The following is a 17,590-nucleotide window of genomic DNA, read 5'->3' on the forward strand; positions in this document are numbered from 1 at the left end:
CACATTTAAATTTAAACTCTTCACAGGAGATAATTTTTCCTAATCACTCAGCTTTCTGCACAGATCTCCACGACTTGATTACTTCTAATTAGGTTAATAAAATGGAGAGTGATTTCTTTTCTCTGAATATATGAATGGTCTCCGAGACAGCCCCAGTGTTGCAGAGCCCAGAGTGGGGCCTGCCCAGATGAGACCTCTGTCCTCCGAGTGGCAGAGGGACTTGCCCAGGGTCACACCACAAGCCAGTTGAACTCAGGTTTGTCTGCTTCAGAAACCCAAACTCTTAATCATCACATGATTGGCAGGAGAGCATCCCCCCCACTTCCCACCTAGGAGAGCATGGGATCAATGGTTGCATCCTCCCCAGGGTCACGGCAGTGGGGCTGGGACCCAGGGAGGCCTAGAGAACTGGCGTCAGGGTGTGGGTCTCTCCTGGACAAAACCTCCCTCAGGTCCCTTTCTAACTGCAGACCCTGTCTGTGACCTGAATCACAGAGTCCCTTTCACCATAAATAGGGTTGGGGAAATGATTCCAGGAAACCAGAATTGCCAAAATACCAGGGTGCTTGGAAGAACATTGTAGAGTTGCTGGCCAAGGAGTTCAGAGAGACCCAGGGAGGCACCTGGCCCTCTGCCCTGACTCATCCTGGACATCTGTGGTCTATGTCTATGGAAGTAGGTCACCGTCAGAGCCCTGCCAGACATTGCCCCATACAACCTCAGAGGGCTGACCCCACCCCTCATGGCTGAGGCCACTTGGCCCTGCTCCCAGGCTCACTGCCCGAGCCCTGGATTGGTCCTGACCTATAGCGGTTTTACTCCATGGGGTTCATCACCAAGGCCTGGACTCTGGGCTTCGGCCCCAGTGCTGGGCACTTTACATACACTGTCATCATCTCCTCCTTCCAGCCCTCTCTGTGCTCTGCAACTATTCATTGAATCCTCACCCTGTGTGACCCTGCTGAGAGCTTCTCAGAGCCTCAGTTTCCCCATCTATAAAAGAGATTTAGACTCAGTTTTTTGGAGGACTTTCTGATTATGGCATCTTAGGATTAACTTTTCCTCCTTTTCTCTTTCTCTTCTCTGCTTTTCACTTTCTCTTTCAACTTGAAGTTGATCCGGGGTAGCCCAAATGGGGTCACACGGTGACACTTATTATTAGCCTCTATCAGCAAAGTGGACACTCACTCTAGCAGCCCCAGGATGGACACAGAGATAAAATCCACGTCTGGGAAAACAAAGGGACTCCTTGTTCCCGCAAGTACACAGACACACTTGCACACCCTACTTTGTGCTGAGACTCATCTGCAGGAAAAGCCACCACCAGCTCAAAGAGATGGGATTTATCAACCAGCGCCAGCCCCAGGGCCGGGCCTGCACCCTCCCATGGCCCAGAACCAGCTGCCACCATCTGGTCCATCCATATTTCTCTGAGGACAGAGCTGGCGAGGGACCAGCCCAGGAAGGCAGGAGACAGAGCGTCTGGAGCCAGAAGCCTAAAGACAGGTTAATCCACATCCTGTGGCTACAGACAGGCCCAGGGGATAATTTGGAGAAAGGGGACAGGCAAGTATACAGCCAAGGGGCCTGGACTCCCCATGTGGAGCCACAGACTGGAGGGTAAATAGAGGGCTGAGAGCTTCCACTAAGCAGAGTCGGCACCTGCCCGGCCCTGTGGGTGAGCATCCCCTCAGAACTTTGCACCCTGGGTGCCTCAGTCTATCCTCCCAAGGGGTGACATAAGGCCCTGCCAGTTCCGTCCCTCCTTGCATGGCTGTGGCTGCTGAGCCCCCACTGGGCAACAAGAGGCTCCAGAGCAAAGGGCCAGTCCTGCCCCAGCAGAGGGAGCTTAAAGGGTACCAGGGCTGGGAATGTGGGGAAGGGCAGGTGTGGATTTTGGGACTGGCCTGGTGTTGAATCGCCGCCACTGGTTCACCCTGAGCAGCTTCCTCTCCCTCTCTGAGCCTCAGTTTCCTCGTCTGCTAAATGGGGCAAGAAGCCTGCCTGGGAGGACACGTGGGCTCCCCTGGGCACGGGAGGGGCATCCGCAAGGACTCAGTGCATATTTATTCCCATCCTCTCTGCAGACCCATGGCACCTGGCTTCAAGTCAACGCCAAGCAAATACCTATGAACCTGGTGAGAGAATGAAACGAGCTCATGCTTGCGTCTGCACTCACGGCAGCACAGTCTAAAGCCATGTTGGGAAATTGAACAACCAGAGTCCTCACTGGATAGCACCCTTGGGGTTTGGCTCTCAGACATCAGGGAGGCTTGCCTTAGGCTGGGCAAGAATTGGATAGAAGAGGGGAAGACAGGCAAGGAGGGGAGACAGCATGTGCAAAAGGGAGAGGGGCCAAGGTGAGGCCACACCCTCTTTCATACTCCCTACCAAAGGCTGATGGGGAAGAGTTTGGGTTTGGAATGGGGCAGATTTGGGTTCAACCTGGGCAGGTCCCTCTGAACTCAGAGGACCCATGTTGTCAGCTATGAAATGGGGGGAATGGCACCCCCTCCTCACAGGGTGGTCATGAGGCTGGCACAGGCATTTTGTGTGTGTACAGCCCCAGCACAGTGCCAGGCACCCAGGGACGCTCTGTGCCCGGGTTTCCTGCCCCTCTGCCAGCTCATCCAGGTCAGCTGCTCCCCTCTGCCCCACATGTGGCCTCCCCACCTGGTCACGTGTGGTCTGAGCAGGGAGTGGGCTTTGGTGCAGGGACCTGGGGGTTTGAGGACATGCCACCCATCTTGGAGAAGACCACTGTGTTCTACCTGGAGGGATGGAGCCCATCCAGCCCCCACCCAGCAGGAACCTGGCAAACAGAGAGGTCAAGGGAGTGGCCCAAAGTCACCAGCCCCAACCCGGCCTCTAAGTGCTCTGCTCTGTAACCAGCCCTGGAGTGGATGGGGCCCCTGTCTACAAACACCTGAACTGAGAGCCTCAAGGATTCTTCTCTGCCCTCTGTCATCCCTCTTTCCTCATATGTTCTTGCTCACCAGTCTGAGAAGAGCCTGGAAACAGGAGCCAGGGTCCCTGGGGGCCCAGGTCAGTGATCTGCAGAGCCATCTGGCTGATGCCTTGGCCTGTGCTGGGAAGGGGAGGGTTAAGGCTTGAGCAGCCCTTCCTGGTTAGTGTTTAACTTGCAGTTTCTGAAGGCCATCAGGAGCCCCATGGAGTTAATGTTTTCTCTCTTAATGACACTGCAGCACATTAAAGAGGGACCCATCTTCCAGCTGACATTGAAGAGAGGCCATTCATTACCCAGGATGGCCTGGGTTGGCAGCTGGAATAACTTTCCCAGAGACCTGCCTGGGTGGGGGAAGGGTCTTTTTATCCCTGCCATCAGCAAATCCTGCCTGGTTCCTCCGACATTAGCTCCAGGAGAGGACAGTCTGAGAAGACATTGAGACAGGCTAGTGCTTTGCTTAGCACAAGAGAGAGCTCACAGTCCCAGTGGACCACAAGTCGGCAGCTACCTGCCTGAATGTGCCACACTACCTTTCCTCTTTTTCCACACTTTCTTCTTCCCCTTTTTCTCCAGGCAATCACTGGTCTGCTTTCTGTCACTATAGATTAGTTTGCATTTTTTAGAATTTTATATAACTCAATTATAAGGCATGTACTTTTGCCTGTTTGTTTCCCACTCAGCCTAATTACCTTCAGTTTTACCCAGCTGTTGCATGTATCAAAGTTTGCTCCTTTTTATTGCCAAGTAGTAATCGATTGTATGGCTATACTGTCATTTGTGAATCCATTCCCCTGGTCATGGACATTGAGGTTGTTTTCAGTTTTCTGATATTGCAAACAAAGCTGCTACGAAAATTTGTGTGCAAGTCTTTGCACAAACTTTTATATTCACTTTTCTTGGGAAAATATCTAGTTGTGGAATGGGCTGGTCATATGCTTGGTTGCATGTTTAACTTGCAAACTGTTTTGCAAAGGGCTCTTGCCATTTTCCACTTCCACCTGCAATGCAGAGGGGTTGCCGTTGCTCCTTATCCTCCCATCATTTGATAATGTCAGTTTTTTTTTAAATTTTAACCATTCTAATAGGCATGTGGTAGTATCTCACTGTGGTTTTCATTCATGTTTTTCTAATAACTAAAGATGTCGAGTGCCTTTTCATGTACTTATTTGTCACCCACATGTATTTAAGTCTCTTGCTCATTAAAAAAATTGGATTATTTTCTTTTTATTGAGCTTAAGAGTTCTGTATAGATTCTCGAAATAAGTCCTTTGTCAGATATAAGATTTGCAGATATTTTCTTCTAGTCTGCGGCTTGTCTTTTTCAATCTTTTACCAGTGCTTTTTGAAGCTTAAAAGTTTTCAGATTTAATGAGGCTACACTTCCGACCTTGCTGCCCATTATGATAATTATGCTGCTCATTTCTGATGGTTAAGTGCCGTCTGCTGTTGGGATCTTATCTTTCCCCACAGCTGCCAGGGAACACTGTTCTAGAACAGTCTCCTAACACCAGCTCTCGCTCACAGAGCTAAGCCACCACTAAGCTTCTCAGTGTTGCTGGTGCCCCTATTACCAGAACTTTCCAGGGCCCCTGAGGAACAGAACCCACTAGCTTTCTGGTTTGCATAATATAACTTTTCTCTCATGCCTGTGCCTCTGAGCCTCCTGACCCCTTCCTCCACAGTCGGCCAAAGCGATTCTGGCATTGTCACTTCATTTAATGTTGGGCCTGGCTTTTTCCAAGATTCTGAGAGCTATTCCAGCGGCATTCTAAGCCCATCTGCAGGCCCTTCCTGGGGGGCTCAATCCAGGTCACAGGACAGCCCCCATGTCTGTGCATCCCCTAGGCCAGCTTCATATTCATCCACCTTCATCCCACACCCCAGGATCCACTGCCGACCTGCTTTCCTGGTTCCCACTGGTCCACGTGGCCAGCTCCTGCAGCTGCTTGGATATACACTCTGTCTCTTCCTCGGGAATACCTGATACTTTGGCAGTTGGTTTATGATTAGATTGGAGCCTAGTTATGAGTCTGGTGGTGAAAAGGGGACATCGGGGCAGATGTTGAAAAAGCATTATTTTGTAAGGCCCCCTCCTAATCTGAGGCCTCTGTATAGTCTTCTAGCAAGGAGGCTCTTATCTTCCAACAAGGGGGGAGTGTGCCACTTCTGCAGGTCTAGAGGGTCCAGGGGAATCTGGACTCTCATGTCCACCCATCCAGATGGACTTGAAAAAAGTTTCAGGGTCATATTCTTTTCCTATAGAGCCCTGACTTTGGCACAGGAGACTCGCCAAGCAGATAATTCTCCCTTCTTCGGAGCTCTGGCACTGCTACCCTGTGGTCCTGTGTCTGGTCTGTGGCTATAGGAGATGGATGTCTCTCTTCTGCTGCCAAGTAGGCTCTCTGATGAACATTTCGCTTCAAACTGCTGATTAAGAGATCTGAGTCTATAATTTTCAGTCCTCAATGTGTCAGTGACACTTAACAATGGACCCCAATGCCAATTTCTCTATAATTGCCTTCTCCCAGTACTTTCTAGTGCTGGAGAACTTGCACCAGCCAGAGCACATGCCTCCGCCCCCGTGTGCCTTCCCCATTCACTGTGGGTGACTGTCTGAACCATTACACTGCTATCTTGCATCAGGGACTACCACAACCTCCTATAGCTGGTGACGGCAGATCCATTTCTACAATTCCATCTGAGAGTCTGCCTCCCAGGGCCATTCCCATTATCAGTTAGCATAGGTTGGGCTTCCCAGAGCAAAGTCTGATAAGGATCCTTATCTGGGAGGAGGGGAGAAAGGGTAGCAGGACGGGACAGGGAATGACCTGAGCAAAGATGTGGTTTCCAGCTCCCAGAGAGCAGGCTTTGGGAGGCCACCTGCTGATGATCAGAACAGCCCCAAGGACTTTGGGATCTTGGTCTGGGAAGGTGTAATAGTCAGGGCTCTCCAGAGGGACACAGCAAACAGGATGTGTGCATATAGATATAAACGAGGTCTATTCTAAGGAACAGGCTCACACAATTATGGAGGTTGGTGAGGCTAAAATCTGCAGTGTGGATTTTCAGGCAGAGAGACCAGGAAAGCCAGTGGTATGGAGGTCTGAAGGCGGGCTACAGGAGAAGATTCCTCTTGCTCGGGGGTGCCTGTCTTCTGTTCTATTCAGGTCTTCAACTGATTGGATGAGACCCACCATATTATGGAGGGTGATCTGCTTACTTAAAGTTCACGGATTTAAATGTTAATCTCATCCAAAACACCCTTCAAACTGACACATAAAATTAACCACAACAGCAGGATATGCAGGGCTGAGCCTTAAAAGCAGGGGAGGGAAACATCAGCCCAGGGCAGGGGGTAGAGAGATGCCCAGGTGGGCCTGGCACCTGGCAGTGGAATGGGCAAGGTAGGGGGCCACTGTTCATGCAGAGAGGCTGGCTGCCAGGCTGGCAGGTGATATCAGGCAGACCTCTGAGCAGGCTCTGGGCTCCAGATGGAGGCCTAGGGGGAAGGGGAACTGGGGTTATGGGGACCAAGAGAGGCCTCGGACACTCTTGGTCAGGAGGGATCACATGAACTCAGGAGAGGACAAATACTGAGTGCCTGGAGCGGGAGCAAGGTCGCAGGGAGACACAGACCCACAGCCACATCTGGTTCACTCCTGGCTCCTCTGAGGGTGTCCTGGGGCAGCAAAGCCAGTCCTAGTTACCGGGTGTTCATCCACTCTGGGCCAAGCCCTGTGTTGGGAGAGGCGGCCTCGTGCAGTGGGCTCAGCACAGGATGTGGGCTCCAACACGGCTGGGTTCAAATTGTGGCTCTGCACTTAACTAGTCAAGGGGCTTTGGGAAGTCGCTTCGCCTGTTCCATTTCAGTTTCCCACCTGACAAATGGAGTTCACTGTGCCTGACACACGGGGTTTTCGTGGTGATGAAATCAAACACCATCTGTAAAGTTTCTGCTTCAGAGATAATCATTATGAATTATGGTATTTGTCAGGAACCTTTGGGTTACGAGTGGAAGAAGCCAAAACTGGCTTAAGATAAAAACAGGCAAGAAAACAAAGAAGAATTCACTGGCTCACATAACTAAAAAACTAGGTCAGGACTGGCTGGATCCACGTTCCCAAATCTTGTCTGCAGGAGTATCCTGCTGCCCTCTTTGGGCTCAACTTTCTCTAACAGGCTTTTCCCGAGCAGTGATGAGATGTTCCCCAACTCCAGGCTTACACCCTATCAGTAGCAATCAAGCACAGAGAGATGCCATCAAATTCACCCATGTTAAGAGTACATTTCAGTGATTTTTAGTAAATTTACAGAATGGACAACCATCACTACAATCAGTTTTAGAATATTTCAATCCCTCCAAAGAGTTGTCTTGTGCCTATTTGGGGTCACTCCCTCTTTCCACCCCCATCTCCAGGTAGCCACTAAGCTACTTTCTGTCTCTATAGATTGGCCTTTTCTGGTCATTTCATATTTGGAATCATGTAATATGCGAGGTTTCCTGTCTGGTTTTCTAAAAACCTAGCATAGTGTTTTTAAGGTTCATCCATGTTGCGGCATGTATTAGTACTGTGTTCATTTTTATGGCTGTTCGACAGTCCATTGGATGGATATACCATATTCTACACATTCATTCATCAGTCAATGGACTCTTGGTTGTTTTCAGTTTTGAGCTATTATGAATAATGCTGCTATCAACCTTCATACACAAGTTTTTGTGTGGACATATGTTTTCATTTCTCTTGAGTATATAGTTAGGAGTAAAATTGTTGGGCTGTAGGGTAAGTTTATGTTTATGTTTAATAATTTAAGAATTTGCCAAACTGTTTTCTGAAGTGGCTGTGCCATTTTATATTCCCACAAGGAATGTATGAGGTCTTAAGTTTCTCCACATCCTCACATCCTTGCTAACGCTCGCTATTGACTGTTGTTTTGGTTATAGCCATTGTAATGGGTGCAAAGAAGTGTCTCATTGTGATTTGAACTTCTGTTTCCCCGATGACTAAGAATGTTGAGCATCTTTTCATGCGCTTACTGGCCATTTGACCAACATCTTCTTTAATATCTTTGTCCTATATCTTCTTTGGTGAACTGTCTATTCAAATCTTTTGCCCATTTTAAATTGGGGTACATGTTTTCTTATTATTGAATTGTAAGAGTTCTTTGTATAGTCTGGTACAAGTCCCTTATGAGATATATGATTTACAAACATTGTCTCTCAGTCTGTGGGTCATCTTTTGAGTTTCTTAATGGTATCTTTTGGAGCCCAAAAGTTTTAAATTTTGATGAAATTGAAGTTTTTTTAAATAAATCATGCTTTTGGTGTCATATTTGTAAAATATTTACCAAACCCAAGGTCACATAAAAGCTTTATAGTTTTAGCTCTTCTATTTAGGCCTATGATCCATTTTGAGTTAATTGTTGTGCATGGTGTGAGATAGGGGTCTCCTGAACCCACCAGATCAAACTTTCTCCTCTGCCTTTCCATTAAAACTGTTCTTCCTTGGTGTATTAGTTTTTCATTGCTGAAAAAAAAAATAACACAAATGAAGTGTCTTACTACAACACACATTTATCATCTCCCAGTTTCCATGGGTCAGGAGTCTGGCATAGGGTGCTGGGTCCTCTGAGGTCTCAGAAGGCTGCATTCTCATCAGAGGCTTGAATGAGGAAGTTCTGCTTTCAAGCACCTTCAGTTTGTTGGCAGAATTCACCTCCTTGCAGCCGCATAACTGAGGTCCATGTTTTCTTGCTGGCCACCCATCAGCGGCTGCTCTCAGTTTGTCGGCAGCTGCTTGCCATGTGGCCCTCTGAACCAGGCTCTCATGAAACAGCAGCTTCCTGGTAGCCAACAAAGGAGAGAGTCTCATGTGTGCTTCCATGATGGCTATGTCTTTTTACATACAGATAGATAGATACATATGTAGATCTACATGTGTGCATGCATACATGTTATGTGATACACATATAACACATAACACATACATATCTCATAAGCCAGTCATGGCAGTGACATCCCATCACCTTTGCCATATTTTGTTCAGAAGATCAAGTCCCAGGTCCCGCTGGTGCTCAGCGGGAGGGGATTATACAAGGCATGAGCATCGCTATGCTGCTTTGATCAAAAAGGGCTGTGGTATCACTCCACCACACTCCAGCCTGGGCGACAGAGCCAGACCTTGTTTCAAAACAACAACAACAACAACAACAACCACCACCACCCAGCTGTGAGAAGGATTACCAAGAACCCTTACCGATGAAAAACAACACAGTGTGTAAGGAAATGAGGGAAGGAACCACGATTCACTAGATGCCAGAGCAGGCAGCTGGGCCTCAGCGCTGACCTCTCCCCTCCCCCTCCGCTGTGTCCATCGCAGTCCGCCGGCCCCCTCCCAGCGTCTCTCGACCCCTTCCCCCCTTCCCTGTACTCCAGCCGCGGCTGATTCCTGCTGTCTGGGTGGGGTCCCTGTAAGGCTCAGGCGGCTGACTGGGGAGGCGATCCCAGGAGGCACAGTGGGGAGGGGATAGCAGGGCGGAAAGAGGCTGAATCACAAGGAGGCGGGGGCGGCGGCTCGGTCCCAGGGCCATCTCAGGGACCGTGTCGGGGGGTGCTGACTCTGCCCATCAAGGGGAGCCGGACATTTATCCGCCAAAGCCCGTCCCTCGCGGTGAGGGTCGCTCCTGGGTGTGGGACCCCTGGCTTCCCGCGCTGCCCTGCCCGGGGCTGGTCTCGTCCCAGGACCCTGGAGAGCGGCCCCAGGAGGCGTGGAGGAGGGGAGAGAGCCGAGGGAAGTGGTCATGGAGCAGGTGAACGCACAGGGGCTTCGGCTGGAGCGCCCTCCTGGGAAGAGCCCCTCCTCTGCAAGGACCTGCCGCAGCTTAACCAGCCTGCGCTGCTGTCGCCAGCGCCAGTTTTAAATAGCCAAACCCTACTCACTTCATCCAGCAACGCACCCCCAACTTCACGCTAAATGCATAATTTGCTGCAAATTAAACTTAATGGGACTAGAGTAATTATGTTGACTTTTTCAAGTAGTTAGAGATAAATACATGATTAGATATTTCAGAATATAAACTTTTTCATTGTTTTCCCCAAGGGAGCCAGGGGAAGGAGGCGGAGGCCTGAGTTAGAGAAGACGCTGAAAAAGTGGGAGGGAGGACTCAGAAACCCGTTTGAAGAGGCTCTTAGACCCCACCGCCGGTGGAATCCAGGCCAGCCACCTGGAAGGGCCACTTGGGCAAAATATAGGCAAAGCTTTAAAAATACCCATACCTGCTAACCTGAGAAGACCACAGATCTATCCCAAGGAATAATCAGAGATGGAGACCAAAATCTATGGGTAGGGCCGGCCATCCCAGTATAATTTATAACGGTCAAACTTACATGGGAGCCATCAAAATGCCTAACAACCTGAGGATTAGCTACCTCAGTTACAGAACAACCATAAGGTGGAAAGTCGTGCAGCCATTAGAAAGGACACAGTCAGAAAGTAATTCACACTGAGAAAATACTGATAAAATAAGAGCGAGAGAAAAAAGCAACATATAGGCCTGGATATACATTCTAAATCTACCAAGAAAAAGAAATCCCAGAAGAAAGTAAGCAAAAAATACTAGCAATTATTAATCTCTGCTTGATGAGATGAAGAGGGATTTGGATTTTCTCTTCTCTTTTTTTATGTTTTAAGAAAATTCTGCAAGAAGCAGAATATTAAAGTATGTTTAACTATTTTTAAAGCAGATTAAGTACAAAGGGAACCCCCACCCTTAGGGGACTTATTGGAGGGAGTTCTGTGGGTGGAGCGCCAATGTCAGGCTCTCTCTGCCCACATTTAAGTCTCCTAGTTGCTGGTTGTAGGAGAGCCTGTCGGTGGTCTGCACAGAATCTAGTCACCCCTTCTTTAGTAATAAGGGGCCAGTGCTGTTGGGGATGGCTTTGTGTCCAAAGCTTTCCTTGCAGATGGGGATGGACAATGAAATGTGAGTGGAGATGGTGGTTGCAGCTTCCGGGAAAATTCATTGATGGGAATTTATTCAATTGACAGAAGTCCCCTTTTCCTTTCCTTTCCCTCCCTTTTTCCTGCCTGGAATGCAGCTCTAGTGGGCTGAAACTCCAGTAGCCATCATGTAACCAAGAGGTAACCTTTAGGATAAAGTCATGCACCACTGAGGATGGTGGAGCAGAAACAAAGAAGGAATCTGGGAATTTGACAGCTTTGTGTGTGTAGCTATCACAGCAGTCCTGGGCTTCCTATATCCAGACTTAACTCATATGAGGGAAGAGTGAACCTTTAACTGGCTTAAGACCTTATTGTCTGGATTCCTGTTTCTAGCAGATGAATGCATTTCCTAAGAGATACATTAGGCTATTCTGAAGGATGGCTGAGAAAAAGCAAAACCCCAGATAATCCACAGGGACTTTAATAAAATTGGTACAGGCCGGGCGCGGTGGCTCACGCCTGTAATCCCAGCACTTTGGGAGGCCGAGGAGGGTGGATCATGAGGTCAGGAGATCGAGACAATCCTGGCTAACACAGTGAAACCCTGTCTCTACTAAAAATACAAAAAATTAGCCAGGCCTGGGGGCACGCACCTGTAGTCCCAGCTACTCGGGAGGCTGAGGCAGGAGAATCACTTGAACCTGGGAGGCAGAGGTTGCAGTGAGCCGAGATTGTGCCATTGCACTCCAGCCTGGGAGACAGAGTCTCACTCTGTCTCAAAAATAAATAAATAAATAAATAAATAAATAAATAAATAAATAAATAAAATAGGTACAAAAATAGCAACTTCTCTTAGTGCAAGGGAGAGTAGGACAGGTACAAGGTTAACTGACTTCTAAATAAAACATCTCTATAAAATAAGTGTTAGTTAGATGGAGCTGACCTATGTAATTAGGCTGTGTACCTATAAATGTGGATCAGTCTCACATAGCATGGTGTGTGTGGGGTGGGCTTGATTGTCAGGACAATCAAGCCAAGATAGTTGCTGTGGATTAATTACTAGAACACAGATGCCAATAGTGTATTAGCTTGGGTCTAATCATGAGACACGAACCACACAGTGATTTAAATGGGGGCAAATGTACTATAAACCTTTATTAAACTATGATAAAACAGTAACTATAAGATAAAGGAAACTTTATATAGCACCCAAGGAAGGACAGCCTTGGAAAGGGGTTCCTTTGCCAAGGATGGTTCAGACCTTGTTGAAGAGGTGGAGTTATAGCCCACTGGACGGCAGAGACATTCAGTGGTTTGCCTGGGCCAGTGCTGGTCTGCAGTCACTGGACAAGCAGAAAACAATCCTCTAGTGTAGCAAGCTGTAGCCTGTTCCTGGGCATGTGGGTGGGCACGCAGATGGAATCTGAGTGCTGGTGTGGGTGGGGCATGGGTGTCCATGTCAAGAGGGCCACAGGAAGGTTATCACCTGGCTAGAGCAAGGCTGCAAGGTTGCAAGGGACCGCGTGTTCCCAGAGCATGGCTGGGGCAGAGCATCAGTGGATGTCCTCAGATGCGCACTGTTGACTGACTGTGAAGCACTGGAACCAGCAGGAGAAGCCCCTTCCTCCTGCAATGTTCATTCAGAGCCCTCTACTGAAGAAGCTTAATGTGTTCACTGCACAGGAGAGGTGCTAAAAGGAATTCAGTCCACTATTACAGATCAGGCATTGAAAGCTCAGCTTGGAGCTAAGGGGCAGTACATTGATAACTGGCACAAGTAGATGCACTTTGTTGAAGTGGAAAGAGAGTGAAATGATAAGTCAGGACACCTGGACTTTGCCTGTGATCTTGAGCAAGTGGTCTCTGCTTCTAGGCCTTGGTTTCCCATGTGTTAAATGGGAGGAGTTAGTTGGATAAAAAGATGTCTAAGTTTCTTTCTGACCTATGAATCTCTGACTATAACTGGATGAGCAGGTATGGCATATGGGAGACTATGAAATGGTGGTGGAAAAAATAAAACCTCCCCCAAGCTGGCCATGGCCTCCTTGGCTCCCATGGCTACACAGAACAGGGGATGCACTGTGTCAATCACCAGCTGGGTCAGAGCTTCCCTGTCCAGAGGCTAAGTCTGGTGGTACAAGAGACTCTGATCCACTGTCTATAGCACTCTCAGAGTGAACAGAGGGGATGATGATGTCAACAGATAAAGTGAGCCAGCTCACAGAGCATTTTCTCATTAAATCTTAGCATTTGAACAGAGGCTTAGTGATCTTCTAGTTATATTCTGTTTGGTGCTAGGATTCCTTCCACAACAACCACTGTCAATCATAAAAATAATTTCGCCATTGTTAACATCCTCATCACTCTTGTCTTCATCCTCATCAGTCTTCATCATCATCACCAGCGCCATTCTCATCTTCCTTCTTTTCACCATCACCATAATTGCCATCATCATCATCATCATCACCATCATCATCTCCATCATCACTGCCACTTTTTGAGCACCTTTTATGTGCCAGGTACAGTGTTGGATACTTTACATACTCTATTGAACAGTCCAATGTGATAGGTATTGGTTCTAATTTACAGATGAGGAAACTGAGGTCCAGAAAGTGGCCCAAGGCAGCACATATAATAGGCTGAAAAAGAAGGCTATGAATTTAGATTTGCCTGATTCTAAAAGCTCAACTCTGTCCACTACACCTTACAACCCTGTAAGTTAACCTCTGCAGTGCATCTCCGGTGGTGAGGAGGTTACTACCTCACCCCTTAGTCTTAGATCTGACCTTTTGTGGACTGCAGAATGGGCCCAACTTCTGGTCCACTTGACAGCCCTTCCAAAGTTGAAGATCAGCTCTTGTGTCCACTTGAGCCTCTATGTTTTTAGAACAAGTACTACATCCTTCAATAACTCCACGTGTGAGCAACCACTTCTCCCGCCCTCCTTGGCCCCCACCCTGGTGCTCCTGGATTTCTGCGATCCTTCCTCCCTGGTCTTCTTGCTTCCATTTTCACCAGCAGCCTCTTTTCCACCCAGCAGCCACAGAAGTCTTTTTACAACACAGATCAGATTATGTCACTCTCCTGCTCAAAACCCTGCAATGAATTCTGTCAACACTAAAAAGAAAATTCAAACTCTGCCATGGCCTGTAGACCTGAAATGATCTTCTCCCACTAACTCCTCACATCTCATCTTCTACCCTCATCTCCAGACACGCTGGCCTCTCCCCTGTCCTTGAGCATATCGTGCTCATTCCGACCTCAGGGTGTTTGCACCTGCTGCTCCCAACTGAGCATCTTTTGACAACTATCAGCAAGCTTCACTCCTCCACGGGGAGGCAGGCTCCTTGGGTTTGCAGATGACAGGCTCTTGGAAGAAAAACAAGTGTTTTGGACCAGGGCAAGATAGAAAATCCCCAGAGGCCAGAGTTCCAGACTGAGACTCGCACGATGGGATTTAAAATGCAACCCTGAATTAAACATGCAGTGCAAAATAAATCAACAGTTCAGGTACAGAGGAGGGAGCCAGGCCTTGAGAGGGGCTGACAGGGAGCTCAGTGTGAGCCCACGGAGCTGCATGTGTCTCTCACATCACATGTCCCTGGGTTGCTCTCCCCATTCCCAGCCATCCCATTCCCAGCCAAGGCTCTTCCTGTAGGATGGAGGGGCTCCAAACCTGGCTAGCTTAATAACAACAGCAACAACAATGATAGGAACAGCCACCCGTTCCCAAGTGCATCCTGCTCACAATCTCTCTCCCTGCAAATTTGCACGGTGAATATTATTGATACCATTTTACACAAGAGAAAACTGAAACTCAGAAAAGCTAAGGAATAGAGAGCTAGTAAGTGGCAGAGCTGAGAATTTACACCTCATCCTCACTCCAAAGCTCAAACACTTCCATGCCCATCCTGGTGTTTTTCAGACCATGTAAATAGTGCTATGGAGTCTAGAAAAAGGTAGGTGAGAGTCCTGTTCAACTGGGAGGCCCAAATCCTTGTGCCATCTGAGAATCAGACCTCAAGAGAGTCATGAATAAGCTAAACCTTGCCTAAAGGCAGGGTCTCCAGCCTGAGAAGAGCATGGGTGAGATCACATTGTTTAATTAATTCACAAAGTACCTATTAGTATCCTGTTAAGTATTAAGCCACCTTCGAAGCCTCCCCATGGAGTAGCCTCTAATGATGCTGTGGTCTCTCCTTCCCCTGGTGGGCTGGGGCTTCTTGGGGGCACTGTCGCTGCTGCTCCTTCTCTAAACACTTTCCCAGAATGCCCAGAGCCCTGTTCAGAGGTGCACATCAGAATCATTGGCTGGTAGGAAGAGATGACATCAATCTCTAGAAGGTCGTACTGTTTCATCAACTTTTATTTTTTTGAGACAGGGTCTCACTTTGTCACCCAGGCTGGAGTGCAGTGGCATGATCTCGGCTCACTGCAGCCTCAGCCTCCCAGTTTCAAGTGATCCCCCAAGTAGCTGGGACTATAGGTGCGAGCCACCACGCCCAGCTAATTTTTTTGTAGAGATGGGGTTTCACCATGTTGCCCAGGCTCTTGGCTCATAAACTTTAAATTCAGATGAAAGGATGTTGGCTCCTGAGGTCATTAGCATAGGTGGTATCTTCTGAAGAATCAGTGGAGAAACTGAGGGACAGAGCGTCTACCAGTGTGCAAATAGAATGAGTGCCTCATAGAGCCAGCTGTCATAGAAAGAAATTGACACTCAGAAATAGGAAGTCTCTTGCCCAAAGTCACACAGCATGTTTGTGACAGAGCCAGGAGTGACCTGGGTTCCTACCAGTTAGCCTGCTCCTCCTCCCTCTCTACCCCATGAGGAGGCTGGGGCTGGGAATAGGCTGGGCTGGGGCAGCAGGACAGTCATCCCTAGCAGGGCTGTGTCTTCTCTGCCCCTGTCTCTGCCCTGTGTTTGTAAACTGAGCTGTTTCAGCATGCCTGGCACCATGTAAGGCACTTAATCACTATCCCATCTCATCCAAAGAGGATGGTCCTCGGTTTACAGAGGAACAAATTGAGGCCTGGAGAGGGCATCTGATGCCCAGGGTCTCGCAGCTGGCAGGTAGGAGACCTTCCCCCATCTAGGACTTTCTGAAGGCTAACGATCGAACCACTTCTCTTGCCCACTGGCTCTTCATGGTGCTGCCCAGCTCCCGATAGTCCACCCCATTCTTATCTGTTTATTGCCTTTCCCATGTAAGCTCTGGAAAAGCAGAGGTTTCTGAACATCTTGTCCACTTCAGCATCCCCAGGACCTAGCAAATGGCAGGGGCCCAATAAATATACTTAAATTAATGAATGAATCTCTTGGGTTCCTTCCACGTTCAATTCCATGACCAAGAGGATCTGACATCCCAACCCAAGCTCCAGGCTGTGACAGGCCCTGACCCTGCTCTCTGCTCCCAACCTCATCCTGCCAGGCAAGCTGGCACCCGACCTTCTCCCATTAGAGCTCCAGCCACCAAGCTCCCCTGGTGACCTGCCATGCCCTACCCTGTGTCATGTCCCCCCTCCTCCCCTGAGCTCTTCTAAACCCTGCCCTCCTGACCTAGGGGGTGGCACAGGCTCCCACCACCTTGATCCGTGTCTGGCTTCTTCTGCCCTTGACCCTGACTTGGGCCCTGACCAAACTTTGACCTATCCTCTGTAATCCTGCAAGAGGCAGTGTGGAGAAACAAGGGGCTCTCCCCAATCCAGGACTTTCTGAAGGCTTACGATTGGTAGCTTCTCAAGGCCAGGCCCAGCCAGACTCCAAAACTCAGGCCTGGGTGCCCATTGGGGCCCTTTGCAGACTTGACCATCCCCAAAAGACTCAACGACAGGTTCAGGGCCATCTGAGACTCAAGGCCTCCTGGCTTCTGAGCCAACAGGACCCTCCTGGCTGGGGTCAGGCATCAGGGGCCTCAAGGACTGCAGCAGAAGGCAGGGCTGTTCCAGAGCTTCTCCACCTGTTGGGCCCATTCCCATCAGGGCCAGGGAGCCTGATTGAGACCCTCACAAATTCAGACCTTTAGGACTGGAAGGACCTTGAGCAAGCCTTCTCTCCAGGCCCCCAGGGTACAGATGGACACACTGAGGAGGGAGCACTGGCTTTGATGTCCTGAGTGGAGGAGTCTTCAAGGGGAGAGGAATCTCCCCGCAGGCCTGGTTCCAAGGGAGATGCACAGGGGCACACAGGGGACCCCTCTAGTGTTTCAGCCCTGCTCCCCCAGTCTAGATGGGGTTGGATCGTCCCTAGGTTTGCTTTGTCCCTGAGTCCTCACAGATGCAGTTACTGGGGTCCCTGTTGGTGGAGATGAGGAAGGGCAGGCAGTGGTTGGGTGGCAGGATATCCATGCTGTGGCTCTTGTCACGGTTCCAGGACAGCAGGGCAATGCTCCTCCGTGTCCAGTGCCAGGTGACCAAGTTCAGTGCCCACGAGAAATGAGGCTGGTGAGCCTCTAAAAGCCTCATGAGGGAGGCCTGGCTGGGGCTCTTAGCTTTGTTTTATGGATGGAGAAATCAAGGGCTAGAAAGAGAGGCCCTGGTCAAGGTGACACTGCAAAAGAGCAACCAACATAGGCATTAACTCACTCTGTCCAACTCTACCCCACCCGCCTGATTCCTGACCCCCCACCACTCCTCACTCTCCCCAAATCACAGTCTCTGGGACCCTAGAGATTATCTTGTC

The 17,590-nt window shown here is 49.1% G+C and overlaps 1 long non-coding RNA gene across 1 annotated transcript in view, besides 1 other annotated feature; it reads left to right on the forward strand.

Annotated features, from left to right (window-relative positions):
- Nucleotides 1-17,590, forward strand: part of LOC107984933 (uncharacterized) — an 82,158-nt gene that overhangs the window by 25,980 nt on the left and 38,588 nt on the right. The window lies entirely within an intron of this gene.
- Nucleotides 2,924-3,494: an enhancer, noted in NCBI's record as "OCT4-NANOG-H3K4me1 hESC enhancer chr1:29798359-29798929 (GRCh37/hg19 assembly coordinates)". NCBI's record gives its function as "activates a minimal SCP1, AML or CMV promoter by ChIP-STARR-seq in naive H9 embryonic stem cells {active_cell/tissue: H9 hESC(naive)}" and the evidence as "EXISTENCE:reporter gene assay evidence [ECO:0000049][PMID:30033119]".

The sequence above is a fragment of the Homo sapiens genome, chromosome 1, assembly GCF_000001405.40.
Source record: "Homo sapiens chromosome 1, GRCh38.p14 Primary Assembly".
Classification (NCBI taxonomy): domain Eukaryota; kingdom Metazoa; phylum Chordata; class Mammalia; order Primates; family Hominidae; genus Homo; species Homo sapiens.